This window comes from Homo sapiens, chromosome 10 (assembly GCF_000001405.40).
Source record: "Homo sapiens chromosome 10, GRCh38.p14 Primary Assembly".
NCBI classification, from domain to species: Eukaryota; Metazoa; Chordata; class Mammalia; order Primates; family Hominidae; genus Homo; species Homo sapiens.
The window spans coordinates 113,155,396-113,171,807 of NC_000010.11; the positions used below are offsets into that span (position 1 = coordinate 113,155,396).

The 16,412-nt window shown below is 44.8% G+C and overlaps 1 protein-coding gene across 17 annotated transcripts in view; it reads left to right on the forward strand.

Moving 5' to 3' along the window:
* Positions 1-12,283, forward strand: part of TCF7L2 (transcription factor 7 like 2) — a 217,432-nt gene extending 205,149 nt beyond the window's left edge. For 4 of the 17 annotated variants that reach the window (NM_001198528.2, NM_001198527.2, NM_001349871.1 and 1 more), the window contains 5 exons: positions 2,626-2,674; positions 3,272-3,322; positions 4,525-4,597; positions 6,184-6,208; positions 10,160-12,283. In NM_001198528.2, the coding sequence (NP_001185457.1) occupies positions 2,626-2,674; positions 3,272-3,322; positions 4,525-4,597; positions 6,184-6,190 (180 nt within the window). In that variant the 3' untranslated portion in view covers positions 6,191-6,208; positions 10,160-12,283. Of the gene's footprint in view, positions 1-2,625; positions 2,675-3,271; positions 3,323-4,524; positions 4,598-5,223; positions 5,297-6,183; positions 6,209-10,159 lie in introns of all 17 variants that reach the window. The other 13 variants (NM_001198531.2, NM_001146283.2, NM_001146286.2 and 10 more) reach the window with 6 other exon arrangements.

Below are 16,412 nucleotides of genomic sequence, written 5' to 3' on the forward strand. Positions count from 1 at the left end.
AAGGGGTAGTAGCGTGGCCACTTCCCTGGAGATGCATCTTCCTCTTCACTAAGTGTAGGGTTTATCCACTTTCTCATGTCTTCTTTTTATTAAAACACAATCCCTGTCCTCCAGAAGTCTCTAGTCTAAATGACAACTTCTTCAGTAGTCAACATCTCCGTGCTATATCCTAAAGGCACAGCTTCTTTGTGTGTAGAGGAATTTTCAGATGCCTTCACAGTATATTGCAAGGAATTGGAAACGGGGATGCTTTTTCACACATGGCTGAGAAGCCCTTGGGTATGTGGATGCTGATACTCCTTGAAGTTAAAACATTTCTGTGCCCAGTTTTTATGAATACTTCAGGCTCCTAAATGAACCGAAACTAGGCCCGCCTGCCTGTTCCAGGATAGCCAGGTGGCACTTTGCCCCTCACGTGGGAGAGGCGCGGGCATGGAGATGGTCCATTGCAGGCCCATGAGATGCCAGCTTCATGATAAAGCACATGAGGTCCTTTTAAAAGAAATTGTACATGAAGGAACATAGCGCGTTTCAACAAGATCCCCGAACAGAAGGCCAAAACAAAGCTCCCAAGTTGCACAGGCCCCTTCCCCTCACAGAAAAGATAGGCCATTTCTACAACAGATGGCCCTCAGCCCTGGGTGGAGCCTAAGCTTGGTGGCATCACCACCTTGAGGTTTTCCTGACAGAACCTAACGTGTTCTCGAGTTTCTTTCTTTCTTTTTTTTTTTTTTTTTTGAGACTGAGTCTTGTTCTGTCACCAGGGTGGAGTGCAGTAGCACGATCTCAGCTCACTGCAACCTCTGCCTCCCAGGTTCAAGTGATCCTCCTGTCTCAGCCTCCCCAGTAGCTGGGACTACAGATATGTGCCACCACGCCCAGCTAATTTTTTGTATTTTTAGTAGAGATGGGGTTTCACCATGTTGGCCAGGATGGTCTCGATCTCTTGACCTTGTGATCTGCCCGCCTTGGCCTCCCAAAGTGCTGGGATTACAGGCGTGAGCCACCGCACCTGGACCTCAAGTTTCTTTCTGCCTATCATTGTCTTTTTCTCTTCCGAGTTGACATCAACATACTGTGAGAAGCTTTAGGCAAAGGCAACTTTTAGCTGTTCTGAAACATATAGCAGTGTAAGACCATTTCATTTCAATGTATGCCAGGCAGCTACTTCATCTGGTAGGGCTATGAGGGGAGGGAGAACTAGTCCAATCCGGAATGAGGCAGTCGCCTCTCCTGAATTCCCCCCAGTCCCATTCCACATTTGCAACCTCGAGCAGATGGATCAGGTTGGAGAATATGAAAGACTCCATGCAGTTCATCCCCTAAAGCCCTCACTAAAAGAGCTTCCTTGGAGGGCTGGGCATTAAACTTGTAGGCAGCAGAGCCTTGTGGTTGAGGGCTTTGGAGCCAAGACCACCTGAGTTCTCTCCTGGCCCCACCACTTGCTAGATGTGTGACCCTGGCAAAGTTACCTAACTCGTCAGTTTTCTCCTCTGTGAAACTGGAATGGTGGTAATACCTGTTGAAGAGGATTGTTGTGATGATTAAAATGAGTCCATCTGCGTAGCACACCTAGAATCATGCCTGGCACCTGGCATATGCTCAACACATGTGACCCATTCATGGGAGGAGTGGTATCATCCTCATTATGTCAGCTAGAAGAGAATTGAGGGAACATCTTCTTTCTTACAGATGTCCACTCAGCAGGTTTTTTTTGTTTGTTTTTTGTTTTTTTGTTTTTAAACAGAGTTTTGCTCTTGTTGCCCAGGCTGGCATGCAGTAGCATGATCTCGGCTCACTGCAACCTCCGCCTTCTGGGTTCAGGCGATTCTCCTGCCTCGGCCTCCCGAGTAGCTGGGGCTACAGGCATGCACCACCATGCCCGGCTAATTTTGCATTTTTAGTAGAGACGGGGTTTCGCCACGTTGGCCAGGCTGGTCTTGAACTCCTGACTTCAGGTGATCCTCCCACCTCCGCCCCTCAGAGTGCCAGGATTATAGGCGTCAGCCACTGCTCCCAGCCCACTCAGCAGTTGTGAAAGGAGCCCAGATGATTCCTCGTTCTATTTCACCCTTTTCCCCTGCATCTTTAACAGCAAACTCTAAGAGAAGCCTCTGCTAAAGCTTTCATTCTCTTGATTCAGAGTGGGACCCTTTGGCCTTCATAAGTAAGAACTGTGAGCAGGTCAGGCAGGGCAGCCCTTGAAGCTGGTGCGGCCATGACCACCTTCATGTGCTCCTCAAAGATGGGCTCTCAGACTGCTTGCAACGCCATCATCCCACTCCTCTCTGAATCTTCCTCGTGCCGTCCCCCATTCCCTTTTATGGATCAAATGCTGTGGGTCAGGTTTGACAATGGACATAGGTACATGAGAAATGAGAGCTTCCCTTCACCACCCGCCAATCCCTTCTCTGCTCCCAAGAAGCGTGTGTCCCTCCAGCTGGGGTACAATGCAAGGGCATTTGGCTTGAAGCGGGGTTGGAGGTTGGACAAATACCGGGGGTTTGTGTGGATGGAGATGGCAGTATGGTCACTTCCTCCTGCCTTCTCCTTCCAGGTGCGCCCAGACACTCTTCTCACATCTGTTTCTTGCAGTAATTCCCTGTGTTTCATCTCTTCATCTAGGGAAAGAAGAAGAAGAGGAAAAGGGACAAGCAGCCGGGAGAGACCAATGGTAAGTGACAATCATCAGGTTAGAGGAAGGAGCTGTAGCCTGAGGACCACCCTTTTATGTTAGGTTTCCATCTGGGGGAGGCAGGAGAAATTCAAGGCCAGGACATTGTGGGGGAACCCTTCTTAGCTAGCCTTTTTGTTTATGCATTTTAATTAATTGCTTCATGACTGCCCTTTTAAAGCTAGTAACATCCATTGTTGCATGAAAAGCACATTGTAATTCTAGTGGAATGTGTTTTAAAATAACTGCAGAGCCTATAACTGGAGAGCAAGCGGTAGGCATGCCTATGCCGGGATTTATACAGTCTGCTTATTTTGTGTGTGCCTGAGAAGGGATGAGGAGGGGGCGGGGCTTAGGGGAGTAGGAGGGGGTGTGTGTGAGTGTTTGATATTAACTGGGCTGTTCCTGAATGTTCTGATGCATGCCTTTACAGTGGTAAATTACACCCATTTTAAATTAAGGAGGTTTGTCATTCTCTAGAAGAAATTAGAAATACTGCATAGGCAATCTCAGAGGTCCCTTGGAGAAGGCCAGGCTTTTACAAACAAACAAAACAAAAATTTTGAAGGCTTTGTATAATTTGTTCTTTTTTTTCAGAACACAGCGAATGTTTCCTAAATCCTTGCCTTTCACTTCCTCCGATTACAGGTGCTAATGTCATTTTGAGTCATTAAAATAGTTGATAAACTGTTTTTTAATTTTTCTTGCCATTATAGTTTTATTAACATTTAAACACGTATGACATTTGAACATTCTTTAAAATGACCATCAACACGGTTTCGTATGTTTCAGTAGATTTTTTTTTTCAGTTGCTTCTGTTTTTTTTTTTTAATTTAACCTTTGTTTTGTTTATTTATTTTTCCCATAACAGTTGTTTAAGCAGTGATGACAGTGATTTAGAGTTGAACTAACTGTGCAAATTGAATATGCAGTATTTCTTTAAAAGAGACTGGTTAAAAAAAAAAATGGAAGGAATTCAGTAATAAACCTCCTTAATCTAATGGCATTTTTTTCATTGCTCCCACTAAGTTTTCTCACGCAAGCATGCATCCGCAGTATGATTATTTTTTCCTTTGCTTTTTTTTATTTTAGTTTTTTCTTTCTTTTGCTTTTCTGCTCATAATTTGCAAGTCCACTAGCATTTTACTGACTGTGCCTGCTTAAATGCTGCTATGAGCTTCTAACTAACTCCTAACAGCTCATTCACACAGCCTGTTTACCTTTATCTTTTCCTCTCTTAATAATTAATGAAAATAGATTTAAAAAAAAGACGAACGTTCCAAAAGCTGCAATATCCCAGTACCACAACCCTTTTCTTTCTTTATTTCTTTCTATTTTGTTTCGTTTTGTTCTGTTTTTATTTGTAATTTTTTTCTTTTTTTAAACTATTGTATTCTGAGAAGAAAAAAGCATGTTACAAACTTAATTCCCTCCTTCGCTTTATTTTCTTCTTTAAGAAAAAAAATTGAGAGAAAAAAGGGAAAGCAGAACTAAAAGAGGAAAAATATTTAAGAGTTATTCCATGTCTAACTTCCCTTTGTCAGCTCGAACCAAATCTGAGAGACAGTCCTTAAAGAAGGGATACTGCAGCTTTATTTGCAACAGCTAATTTCAAAAGTTGAATAAGAATGTGACTTTTACTTTTTTTTTTTTAATTAAAGAAAGTTAAAAAACGAAAGTCAATATTTTGCAATTAGTAACCAGGTCATTGATTTATTCCCTTTTTTATTTTTATTTTTTTCTTATTTGTATCTTTCTCTTCCCCCCCCCCCCCCCTCTTTCTCTCTCTCTCTCTCTCCCTTTCTCCCACGTTCTCCTCCTCTGCTCGCTTCTCTCTTGAACTCATTCAGACCTGAGCGCTCCTAAGAAATGCCGAGCGCGCTTTGGCCTTGATCAACAGAATAACTGGTGCGGCCCTTGCAGGTGTGTATAGTTTTCCAGATTCGCTGTGCTGGTTTGCAGCTGGTCTATTCGATCCTCTCCCCCTTCTCTGGCCTGTTGCTTTGTAGCTCTGTGTGTGGATCTCAGGAGACACAGGGGAGTGGGACACTGCCAAGTGTATGGGTTCTATGAGGGATGTGCTTGTTCTCCTGCTGCTGCCAGCCAAAATGCCACTGTAAAACAGCATCACTCGTGCCTCCTCGGGTCAGCGACAGCAAACCTTAGCGCGCCCCCTCCCAGGGAATGTTACCTGCCAACCCCCATCCCTTCCTTGTGACAGCCCAGGATCGGAATCCTGGCCTAGGTAGAAGCAAATGACATCACCTTCTCCCCTCCTCTTCTCTCTCTCTTTTTATTTATTTATTTTTTCATTGTTGTTTTTTGGTTTCTGGTTGTTGTTTTGTGTGTGTGTGTTTTATTGTTTTATTTTATTATTTTTTTTCTTTTGGCTCATAGAAGTCCTTTCCTTTCATGTCCTTGGTGAGGGAAGATTATCAAATAGAACCAAGGTGATAGAGAAGAAAAGGAAGCTGTAGCTGAGATTTCACATCCAACTGAGCACGACCCACCATTGTGTTGTATTTTTTGTGTTTACCTTATGCTAACAGATGCAAATACTCCAAAGAAGTGTCGGGCACTGTTCGGGCTTGACCGACAGACTTTATGGTGCAAACCGTGCAGGTATATTACCACTGCGAGGCCTTTGGGAAAATCAAAGCATTCTGTCCTTCCGGTACCTTAGCGTGATAATTTATTTTGACCTCGTTCCCCATCTACTTCCCCTCTGGCATCAATGACTAATGATCCTCATTCTTCAAAATTTCCTTGCTAATTTTATGCCATTTCCTCTCCCCACTTTCTCTTTCTCTCTTTTCCCCCTGCTCTCATGAACAATATCCCTGGTGGCAGGACTGAGACCACAGCCTTAACAAACAAGGAGGGGCACTTATCTTTTTGCTTTGAAAGCCAGCATCCTGGAGCTGGTCCGGCCCTATGAATGCCTTGGTGGCCCGGGTACTGAGCACAGAGAGCCACCATTTCCAAAGGTTTGAATGAGTTAACACTTGGCAGCAATTGCATTCCCGTGCACTTAGAGTCGAGACACATGGAGAAGGGTTCTGGGGTAGGCTTCTTCTTTCCCTTTTTTCTTTTTCCTTTTTGGTTGTTTTATGTTTAAAAACCACATGTCTGTACGGAGGAGCTTGGTTAGCTGACATTGTTTTACAGTGCTGAAAAAGAAGCGTGGCATTGAACGGCATGCACCAGCTAAAGGGCTGCAAGCAGTGAGTCATGCAGTCTCAGACTGCAGCGTCCCTAGGCCTGCAGAATTAACAAAATATATGTGTGTATATATGTAGCATTGGTTCCAAAAGGAATCAGAACAGCCCAGAAGTGTCCAAATTAAGCACCCATGTTCCACCTGCAGGTCTCCATCCAGCCTGCATTCTCAGGGAAAGTGTAGGTACTTCCTTCTTGGTGGAGGGATACCGACTAGCTCCTGTCTCATTTCCTTTCTTTAATGACCACCTTTGGTTAAATGTGTTGTTTCTTTGTTCTGATACAAGCAGTCTTTGAATTTGGAATATTACAATGGTAGGTATTTCAACACCCTAAACACGCTTCCCTGTTTGTAGTGCCTCCCTCGTCACGTGTCCCTCCCCTTCATGACTTTGCCATGTGCTCCGTGTTTAGACGTTAGATCAGATGTGCATCCCATTACGTGCATGCCCACGAGTCTCCTGTGTCTCTTCCCCCCTTCTCTGATGCCAATACGAGAGATCGGTGAAGTGCCTCGTGTTGACCCCAGCACACATTAGAGGAGAGAGGGCCTGAGAGTATTCCCTGAGAGGGAGCCACACAGACAGCCCTCTGCCTGTGGAATGAGGGATTTGGGGGCGAGTTGAACACCCGGCAGGAGAGGAACTCCCCAGGCATTCTGTGAGATGGTAGTGTTCACAGCGCTGACAGATGTCCCTTTGACACAGTCCTGGGGTCTTCTCTGCACAACAGAAAGGAGTTTTGTGACAAAGTTGATGGAGGAGGTTAGGTATTTAATTAGGACTAGCCAGGGAGGGCAGGGACTCTGTTAAGCAGTGAATTTGTCAAAATTTTACTTGTACCAGGTGGGAAGATAACTAGCTGTGGAAGCCTGTTCTGAGATGCCCTGCCATGGCCAATGACTGGTTAACCACAAGGGTCACTAAAAGAGAGGGTTTCTCATGATCTGTAGAAATGTACAACTGACACTATTGTGTGCTCCTCACAATAAGGCCGGTTCAGGTACCTAGTTTGTTTATTTTATTAATGGGGTGGGTGGTGGTTTATGAATCCTTTTTTTGTTTTGGAAGCAGTTGCTGCAAGTCAGACTTTTTTTTTTCTTGAAGTTATTCCTAACATTGACCCAAACATGCATCCCCCATTTGGGCATAGCTTTAGCTTACACCTTGCTTACAGCCTGGGTGTATCTTCAGAGACCAGAATTTTATTGATATATAAAAAAAAAATCTGCCAACCGAAAACCTTTGTAGCTGCTTCCTGTTTGAGCAGCATGGTTTTCTAAAATGCATCTTGGAGGGGCTGTCAATAGGGCAGCATTTCTGCTGCAGACGCTGAGCCCCTGGTCCTAGGTGCCAGAGTTCCCCAGGTCCCTGTCTCCACCTGGTTTTCTTTCCAGTCTCAGCAGTGTTCAGACTTTCCCAGCAGATATTTTTCTTTGTTGGTGACTTTTCCATACCATGGAATGATTAGCAAATGCATTTCTGCTGTCTTTGAAGGATGCTATTCCAAAACAGGATCAGGAAGAACCCTTAGTTTCCTTTCAGAATAAACAAGAAGCTAGAAAGGGGTTTCTAAGAGGCCACTCCTCTGAATCGAGATGAAGCCTAGGTTGGGGGTGCTAAGAGTATGGGTTACCTTCCCCCTTTTACTCAACTTTTCCTTTTAACGTGGCTATGGCCACCCCTGGCTTAATGCTAAAACTCATAGGACAAAATGTACTTAAAAAAAAAAAAAAAGGAAAAAAAGAAAAGCAGTTGCCAACCGAGGCATTTTCTGACTCGTCAGAAATGTGTGTGCGTGCCAGCTGCCCTGTGCTCAGCCACCTTAGGAGACCCATTGCTCTGTCGCCATAGTCTTCATGTCCCGTGTTCCAGATACCCCTCTCATTCCTATGATCTGGAAACTTCCACGTCATGAGGGTGGGAGGGGTGAGGAAGGTACCAGAATGCTCCTAGCCAATCAGGGCTTCTAGCTTGCCACACAAGGTTTCTAGTTTCATTTGACATTTGTGGACATTTTAACAAGATTCTGTTTTGAGCCCACCAAGTTGCTTTTCCCATCTTTTCACTCTGCCCTAATATAGCATGGAATGCTGCTTGGTGCTGTTCCCTTGTCTTCCTGGTTGTTCTCCCTGCTTCTTTCTTTCTCCCTTTCCTTTCCTCTCTCTGTTTTTCTCTGTTGCTTTCTCAGTTTTGCTTATGCCCTCCCCCTCCCCACCTCCTTTCCTTCTCCCATTTTTAAAATGCATGGACATCTTAGTTTTTTGAGCATGTTTTGATCTGCAGGCTAAGGTGGTTTAAAACTCTGAGAGGCTTAATTATTTATCTTGGTTTCTGGGATGGAAGCAGAACCCATAGTCTATTTACTCTCTCCCAGGGAGAAAAAGGAACCTTGCCAAATTGAGGGTGAGAGGGGGTGGTGCTTGCTCCCCTAGAGTTCCTTCTGACCCAGAAGGAACAGACAGACCCTGAGGCCACTAGCCCCCATGAATCTCAGCCTCTGGGAGGCAGGGAGGACTGAGCATGCTCCCTTACACCCCTCCCCTCCTTCCCTGCCTTCCTGCCATCTTGCTGAGTCCAAACCCCAAGCACAGAGGGGCATGATCAGACAGCTCTGGGGCACAGACTGAGAGGAGGAACTCAGCACACCCTTCCTTTCCAAGGCCAGTGACATTGTCTGACAGTGGTTGCCTTCAAGCAGGCAGCATCTTGGTTGCTTCCAGCGGCAGAAAGCTGGCCAGTGCTTACACACGTGTTTCCAGTTGGAGTGTTATCAGCCATGGTTCTGACAATATTCTAGGGTCCTTAGATGAGCACACTTCCTGTATCTGCATTATTTTTATAGCATTAGTGGGGTTGATCCCCAGGCTCACCTTTCCTTACCAAATACCATCCCATCAGACTGGGATTAATGGGAGGAGAAGCTTTGAAGTCACATGCTCAATTTCTTGAGTTGATTTTCCCCGACCTCATCCTTTGATGCTAAGCAAGAAGGGCTCTGAAATTCTCATTCCTATTTCTTACATGAATGAGTAGTGAAGAGGGGAGATGCTGGTTTTGGTGCAGGGCAAAATTAGTCTTTCTGGTTTAAACACGAATCACGATAACCCAAACCCAGGAAGGTCCATGCTGCGATTCCCTGGCACTTCTTCTTTGTAGTCACTTCGGTGACCGGCTTGTGCTGCACCCTCCATTGACTAGCCTTGGCATATTGACAAGAGCAGGATGCCCCTCCATCCATCCCATCCTCACCATCTCTCCTTCCAACCTTCTCACTACGGGGTGGGGGAGGGGAAAGCCCCAAATCTTAAAAAAAAAAAAAAAATCAAGTTTGAATCTTAATTTAATCCACAACCTGCAGGCCATACAACCAGTTATTCTCGTTCCTTTGAATCATTTTCTGTTTTTCTTATTCTTCCCCCTCCCCCACCTTTGTTTATCCTCTTCTACCTGTTTTTGGTGGTTTCTTTTTTTTGTTTCGTTTTTTGTTTTTTGTTTTTGTTTTAAGTTTATTTTGTTTTATTTTTGTTTCCCTTCCTCCCTTCTCACCTGATTCTGACCTCTCTTGATTTGGTGTGGTTCTTAACAGACAAGCCCGAAAGCTCTCTGGGCGCCAGCAGCCTCATGGTGGTGGTGTGTTAAAACCTTTAAGCCTCTTGCTAGCGCTGCCTTCAGCTATGTGGGCTCAACAGTGAGCATTTTGAGAGTTTCATATTGATACGAGGCGGCTGGGGAAGGAGCTCTGTCTTTCTCTTTTAAACACACACACACTCACACTCACACACTCACACACACACATCACTGGGGGATGGGGGTGGTAGTGGTGGGAATGGGAGTGAAGGGCCGAGGAAACTTGATGGGAAAGTGAGGGACTGTCTAAGCCAAAAGAGCTTTTCAGTTCTTCTCAATTTGGACAAAGCCACTTTTTGGCAAATAGATGCCACCATCTGCAGGTGGCCGCCTCCATGCTGCTCTCGTATATAATTTGGGCATGGTGGGGCATGGGTGTTTAGTAGGGGTTGGGGGAAGCAAGTAGAGAGTTCAGACTCTTAAATAAGTTGTTTGCCAGAGCAGGCTTAGATCTGGGCACTGTGAAGTAAGCGACCCACCCTGGGGGGGCGCCACTGTAATTGTCCTCGGACCACTGGGCGTGCCACCTCTGTGGGACATCCCTTAGGTGACCTCAGCTTGGGTGTGAGCATTAGGTAACTCTCTCCCTTGGCATCTGTGCCCTCTATTCACAGATAACTCTCTCCCCTGTTTCTAGGAGAAAAAAAAAGTGCGTTCGCTACATACAAGGTGAAGGCAGCTGCCTCAGCCCACCCTCTTCAGATGGAAGCTTACTAGATTCGCCTCCCCCCTCCCCGAACCTGCTAGGCTCCCCTCCCCGAGACGCCAAGTCACAGACTGAGCAGACCCAGCCTCTGTCGCTGTCCCTGAAGCCCGACCCCCTGGCCCACCTGTCCATGATGCCTCCGCCACCCGCCCTCCTGCTCGCTGAGGCCACCCACAAGGCCTCCGCCCTCTGTCCCAACGGGGCCCTGGACCTGCCCCCAGCCGCTTTGCAGCCTGCCGCCCCCTCCTCATCAATTGCACAGCCGTCGACTTCTTCCTTACATTCCCACAGCTCCCTGGCCGGGACCCAGCCCCAGCCGCTGTCGCTCGTCACCAAGTCTTTAGAATAGCTTTAGCGTCGTGAACCCCGCTGCTTTGTTTATGGTTTTGTTTCACTTTTCTTAATTTGCCCCCCACCCCCACCTTGAAAGGTTTTGTTTTGTACTCTCTTAATTTTGTGCCATGTGGCTACATTAGTTGATGTTTATCGAGTTCATTGGTCAATATTTGACCCATTCTTATTTCAATTTCTCCTTTTAAATATGTAGATGAGAGAAGAACCTCATGATTCTACCAAAATTTTTATCAACAGCTGTTTAAAGTCTTTGTAGCGTTTAAAAAATATATATATATACATAACTGTTATGTAGTTCGGATAGCTTAGTTTTAAAAGACTGATTAAAAAACAAAAAGAAAAAAAAAGCAATTTTGAAGCAGCCCTCCAGAAGGAGTTGGTTCTGTATTATTTGTATTAAATACGAGCTTGCGAACCAATCATTTTACATCTGGTTTTTAAACCGTAAGGGCACCATGAATGCAGTGCCGTTACTTTTTTTTTTTTTTTCTGTGTGAAACAACTCTTATTGTGATGTTACTTGTTATTGTTTAAATGTACAGAAACAAAGGGTAAAAATGTGTTAATATACCTTGTTCCATGGTGTTGTTCTTTTGGGGGGAGGGGACGCTACTCAACACTTAATAGAATCACAACGCTGTTGGGCCAGTAGTATTTATTGCTTTAGAGATTGCTTGTCGTACCTGTATGTCGTCCCTTTTTAAATATGTTTTCCTTTTTCTTGAAACTGTATAAAGTTTTTTTCCCCCTTAGCATAAGCATCTTATATATAACAACTCATTTGTACAAGGTTTTTAAGTTTATATATAAAATGTGTATATATATTTTTGTTTCCCCTTTTTGACTTTTTTTTTTCTGTATGAAACCCAGATGTCACCAAATGGACATTAATAGTTGCATTAAGGATCAGTAGCATTAACAAAAGTTGCTTTAAAAGCCATTATGTAAAACAAGACTTGAAAATGAGTGAGGGAATTTTAGCGACACTGTCTGAGCAGCAGTGGGAACCATCTTCGTTTCCCCTTTGAACTCCCAGTGGGATGCCCTACCCTGCGCCCTTAGGACCCGGACTGACCGTGTACAAAACTTTACGTGCCAAAATTCTCAGTGAATTTAGCTTTCTCCCTCTTTTTGATGCTGTAATTTTTGTTCATCATGTTTTGCTGTGATGTTACATAGGTAGATTTGTATGTAGTTTTAATGTCACCTATAACAAAATGTGTTTGGTAGCAGATTGTCCAGAAAGCATTTTAAATGAAGAGGTATAAACCCTTAAGGGCCAAAATTCTGTATATTAGATTACTCTTAAACGAAAAACCAGCTGCCGCTTTTATGTACACATATTACATACGAGTAGGCAGCAGACTTTAAAAATAAAAAAAACCTAGGCATGTTGATGTTGCAAAATGCTGTATAAAGCTGAAACCTGTTCATTCAGTGCCATTGTAGTTGACATGAAGCGATTGTAAAACTGTCTCCGATTTTTCTCTGGTTTATTAAAATGCTAACTATAACATTTTTTGTGAATACTTTGAATGTTTCCTAACAGTTGTGATGTTACTGTTCCGTTTTATGCTCTTATTCCAAGTTCATTTTTAATGGTTTGGAAGCCATTTTTGTAATGAATAAATGTTCATGCTGTACAGTATCTGTAGCATGCCGTTCTGGATTAATAAAAGCAACTTAGTATGTGCAGATAAAGGCTGGTCACTTGTTTCTGTGATTTGGATTTTTATCTCTAGGGAAACTGGACCTACCGTAATCAAGAAAAACATATTCCCACGTTGGAACTTGACCATACAGTTAGTGTGTAGGTGATGACTTAGATACCAGAACGTGGTCTTGGACTCTTTTGAGGGGTTGATCCCCTCCCCTCCATCCTCGTGGCCCATTTGGTGTATCTGGTTTGCATAATGTGTCATTTGCAATGGAGATGATCAGTATCAAAGGGGATCCCTGGTGTGTGTCTTCTGTAGTATTTCACCGTGCCATTCCCAGTAGTTTGTTGCTGAAAGCAAAGCACAGTTACAGAGCAAATGTCACTTTTTTGGGGGCTATAAACCAGTTTCTCTGAAATATCCTACTCATCCTCTCACAGTAGCAAGCAGAAAGAATTTAATTCTGGTGAATGAGACTTAGTCCACCAAGAGTGCACTTAAGAAACCACATCCTTAGCAGTTAAGGATCATGGGTGTGAAAGCATCCTAACCTCCAAGAGTTGCATCCTGGGAGAGATGCAAGGGTATCAAACTGCCCTTTCTCTAGCAGTGAGCGATTATTGAGTAAGCAGCTTTTTAGAAAATTGGATTAAGGTGATGCACTGAAAGGTGTGTGTGGAAGGGCCTTGCTGTATGTGGGATCCAAGTGTTCTGGCTGTACCCTGGTAAGAGCCCAAGTTCATCACCATCACTGAGCAGGGGCCATGATACAGATCTTCCCTAAGGTTTCCCCTGGATTTCATTTCTCTTGCTGACTAGATGGATGGATGGACACATTGTTCCATTTATCTAGGACATTTATACCTTCAAAGGATGACGATTTCAATGGGCATGGAACTGTTCGTGTTGCCGTTGTGGTTTCTTAAGGTGACCACAGTATCGCATCAAGGACTTAAGAGCCCCTCGGAAACTGCTTTGCTCAAGCAAGTTTTTCTTCTGTAAAATCTCGGCATTTTGTTTTTGCTTTGCTTTGTATTCCCAGGGAGGAGTGTTTCTGGTTGTCCTTCCTCATTTTATTTTGCACACTGGGCCGAGTGACCTTTGAAAACACAAATAAGAACAGTATCTGTTATTCGTGGCAGTGTGCCAAGCTGTTTATGTGCATTTTCTCATTTAATCCTAACACTACCACCTAAGGCAGACATTCTTCTCCTCCGCCACCCTCTGCTTCATTTTCTGAAAATGGATTTAGAAACTGAGGGTTTTAGGTGCCTTGTCTAAGGCCACACAGGAGGTGGTGGGGCTGGGATTTAAATTCAGATCTGACTCCGGGCCCCTGCTCTTAAATAAAGACAGCCCTTCCCCTCCAAAACAGAAGTGAGGGAACAGTCCTTTCAGAGGATTTCCTTGATTCCCCCACCTCCTCTGCCTCACACACTCGCTCACTCCCTTTCCTCTCTGGCTGTACTACAGAGTTAAGCTTACCTAAAAGCATTTTTGCTCTTCCTGCCTGGAAAACAACCCCTCATGCTTCAGGTCTTGACGAAGACGTCCCTTTGTTGGGGGAATTGGTCCGGAGCCCCTGAGGGTTGCCTGTCTCCCTCCTGTGTGGTCTTTCAGGCCTCTGTCTTCTAGTCTCCTTTGAAAGTGGCTGTCGTCTGCTTAGGTCATTCCAGCCTCACCGTGTTTCTCAACCTCAGCACTCGTGACATTTTGGGCCAGATAATTGTTAGTTGTGGGGGTCTGACCTCTGCACTGTAGGATGTTATCAACACCCCTGGCCTCCACCCACTAGATAACCTGTCAGCGCTTGCCCCACCGCCAGTCATGACAGCCAGAAACGTCTCCAGACATCGCCAGATGTCCCCTGGGGGGCAAAATCACCCTCAGTTGAAAACCATTTCTCTAGAGAGCCCTCCAGGATGACAGGATTGTGGCTTTCGTGCCACTGCTGTATGCTAGGGTCTTGGTTTAGTGCGGGGCACACAGTGGGGTGCTTGATATACATTTTTTGAAGGAAAGAAGGAATGAGGTTGGCCAACTCAACACTCGTATTGTAGGAAGCAGCAAAATGGAAACTTTCCATGAGCCTTCCAAATTTTGTGTTCTCACAACTTTCAGGGTGGTGGTGACCTTAATCCTTTCGGCCATGCTGGGATGTAACCCACTGCCCTTGTTACAAAGGCCAGAAAAAGGGCAGGGGGGTCAGTCCCTCTGCTGTCAGCCAGCCCGAGTGCCGATCTCTATAAAAATCAAAATGGGGGTCACCAAGTCACACGCTTGCCTGCCTTACAACACCTGGTTGGTACTTGGAGGATCCTTCCACCCAAGATGGAACTTCCTTTCCCCCAGGCCTGTGTTCTCAGCAGCCCAAGCTCTAGTCTTCCAAATGCCCAGCCAAGTCTTTGCCCTTCGGCACTTCCTCTCTCTGTCTGATTTCTTCTTACCTCAAGAGTTTCTTTTCAAACTCAGCATCTTCTAATTTCATCTGTAAGAGTGGATCTGCGGGTTTTTTTGTTACTAAGAGACCCTGAAACAACGTCTGGGAAACGATAACTCTCACTTTCCCAGCCACATCACTTTCGGCCTCTTACGGGGCTTAGCCAAAGATGTTTGCATATTAGTAGGGCGTATGTTTCCTGTGGCTGCCGTAATGAATCGCCACAAATGTGGTGGTTTAAAACAACAGAAATTTGCTCTTGCACAGCCTTGCAAACCAGAAGTCTGAAATCAAAGTGGTGGCAGGGCCGAGCTTCCTCCAAGGCTCTGGAGGCTAATCTGTTCCGTGTCTGTTTCAGCTTCCAGTGGCTGCCTGTAATCCTTGGCACTCCGTGGATTGAAGCCACATCACTCCAATCTCTGCTTCCATCTTCACATCGCTTTCTCCTCTTGTCTGTCCCCAGACACCTTCTGCCTCTCTCTTACAAGGATACATGTTTTTGTATTTTGGGCCTACCTAGATACTCCTGGATAAATATCCCTTCTCTTCAGATCTTTCACTTAATCACATATTTTGCTATATAAAGCAATACATGTTTTAACAGGATTTGCATATGGACATATATTTTGGGGGGGCCACCATTCAGCCCACTACAGAATCATTCTCCAACTGCTGAGTCTCAGCACAGAACCCTTCAGAATGGGCAGTTGTTCGTTCCACTATTGGTGGTGGTCTTGGATAGGCCCATGTGGAAAGCAATTTTTACAGTACATGGCATTTCATTTCAGATATTAAAAGGTTCGTTGTTTTTTTTTTTTCCTGATGATGTGGATTCACATAGGGTCAGAGAGCCTTGGACCTGGATGCAGGATTTCGAGAAAGTAAGTAGCTTGGAGCAGTGGAGTGAATCTGAGCTTGGAGGATCCCACATCTGACTCTCTCGCCGTGTGTCCTTGGGTAATTCCTTCATCTCTCTGAGTCTTTGTTTCTTCACCTAACAAGTGATGATACTGGTGTTCATCTGGACAGATTTGTATGAGGGCTAAGATGCAAAGTTGCTAGACTAGTAGGTCATAGTGTTTATTATTAATATAAAAGCCAAAGGCCAGTCTTCTATTTGTTTTCATTATTTCTTTTTTTTTTTTTTTTTTTTTTTGAGACGGAGTCTCATTCTGTCACCCAGGCTGGAGAGTGCATGGAGTGCAGTGGCACAATCTTGGCTCACTGTAATCTTCTCCTTCCAAGTTCAAATGATTCTCCTGCCTCAGCCTCCTGAGTAGCTAGGACTACAGGCGTGTGCTACCACGCCCGGCCAATTTTTGTATTTTTAGTAGAGACGGGGTTTCACCACGTTGGCCGGGCTGGTCTTGAACTCCTGACCTCAGGTGATCTGCCCACCTCGGCCTCCCAAAGTGCTGGGATTATTGTTTTCATTATTTCTCTTTGGGATTCTGCTGGTTAGTCCAGCTCTTCACACCCAAGTAAGAGAATCACAAAGATCTAGATGCAGAAGACACATCTACATGACCCAGGGACAGACATTGTGACTCATCCACACTCATTCATTTTACCTGCAACTTAATGGCCTTAGGAAAATGACTTCTAGTCTCTGGGGAGCCACAGCCCTGTCTGGGTTGCTTTTTGTGATATAGAAATGCGGCATAGAAACGTGTTTTCAATTAAAGCCCTTTGCAAAGAAATTGAGGAGTAGCCTAAAAGCCTCTCGTGAACG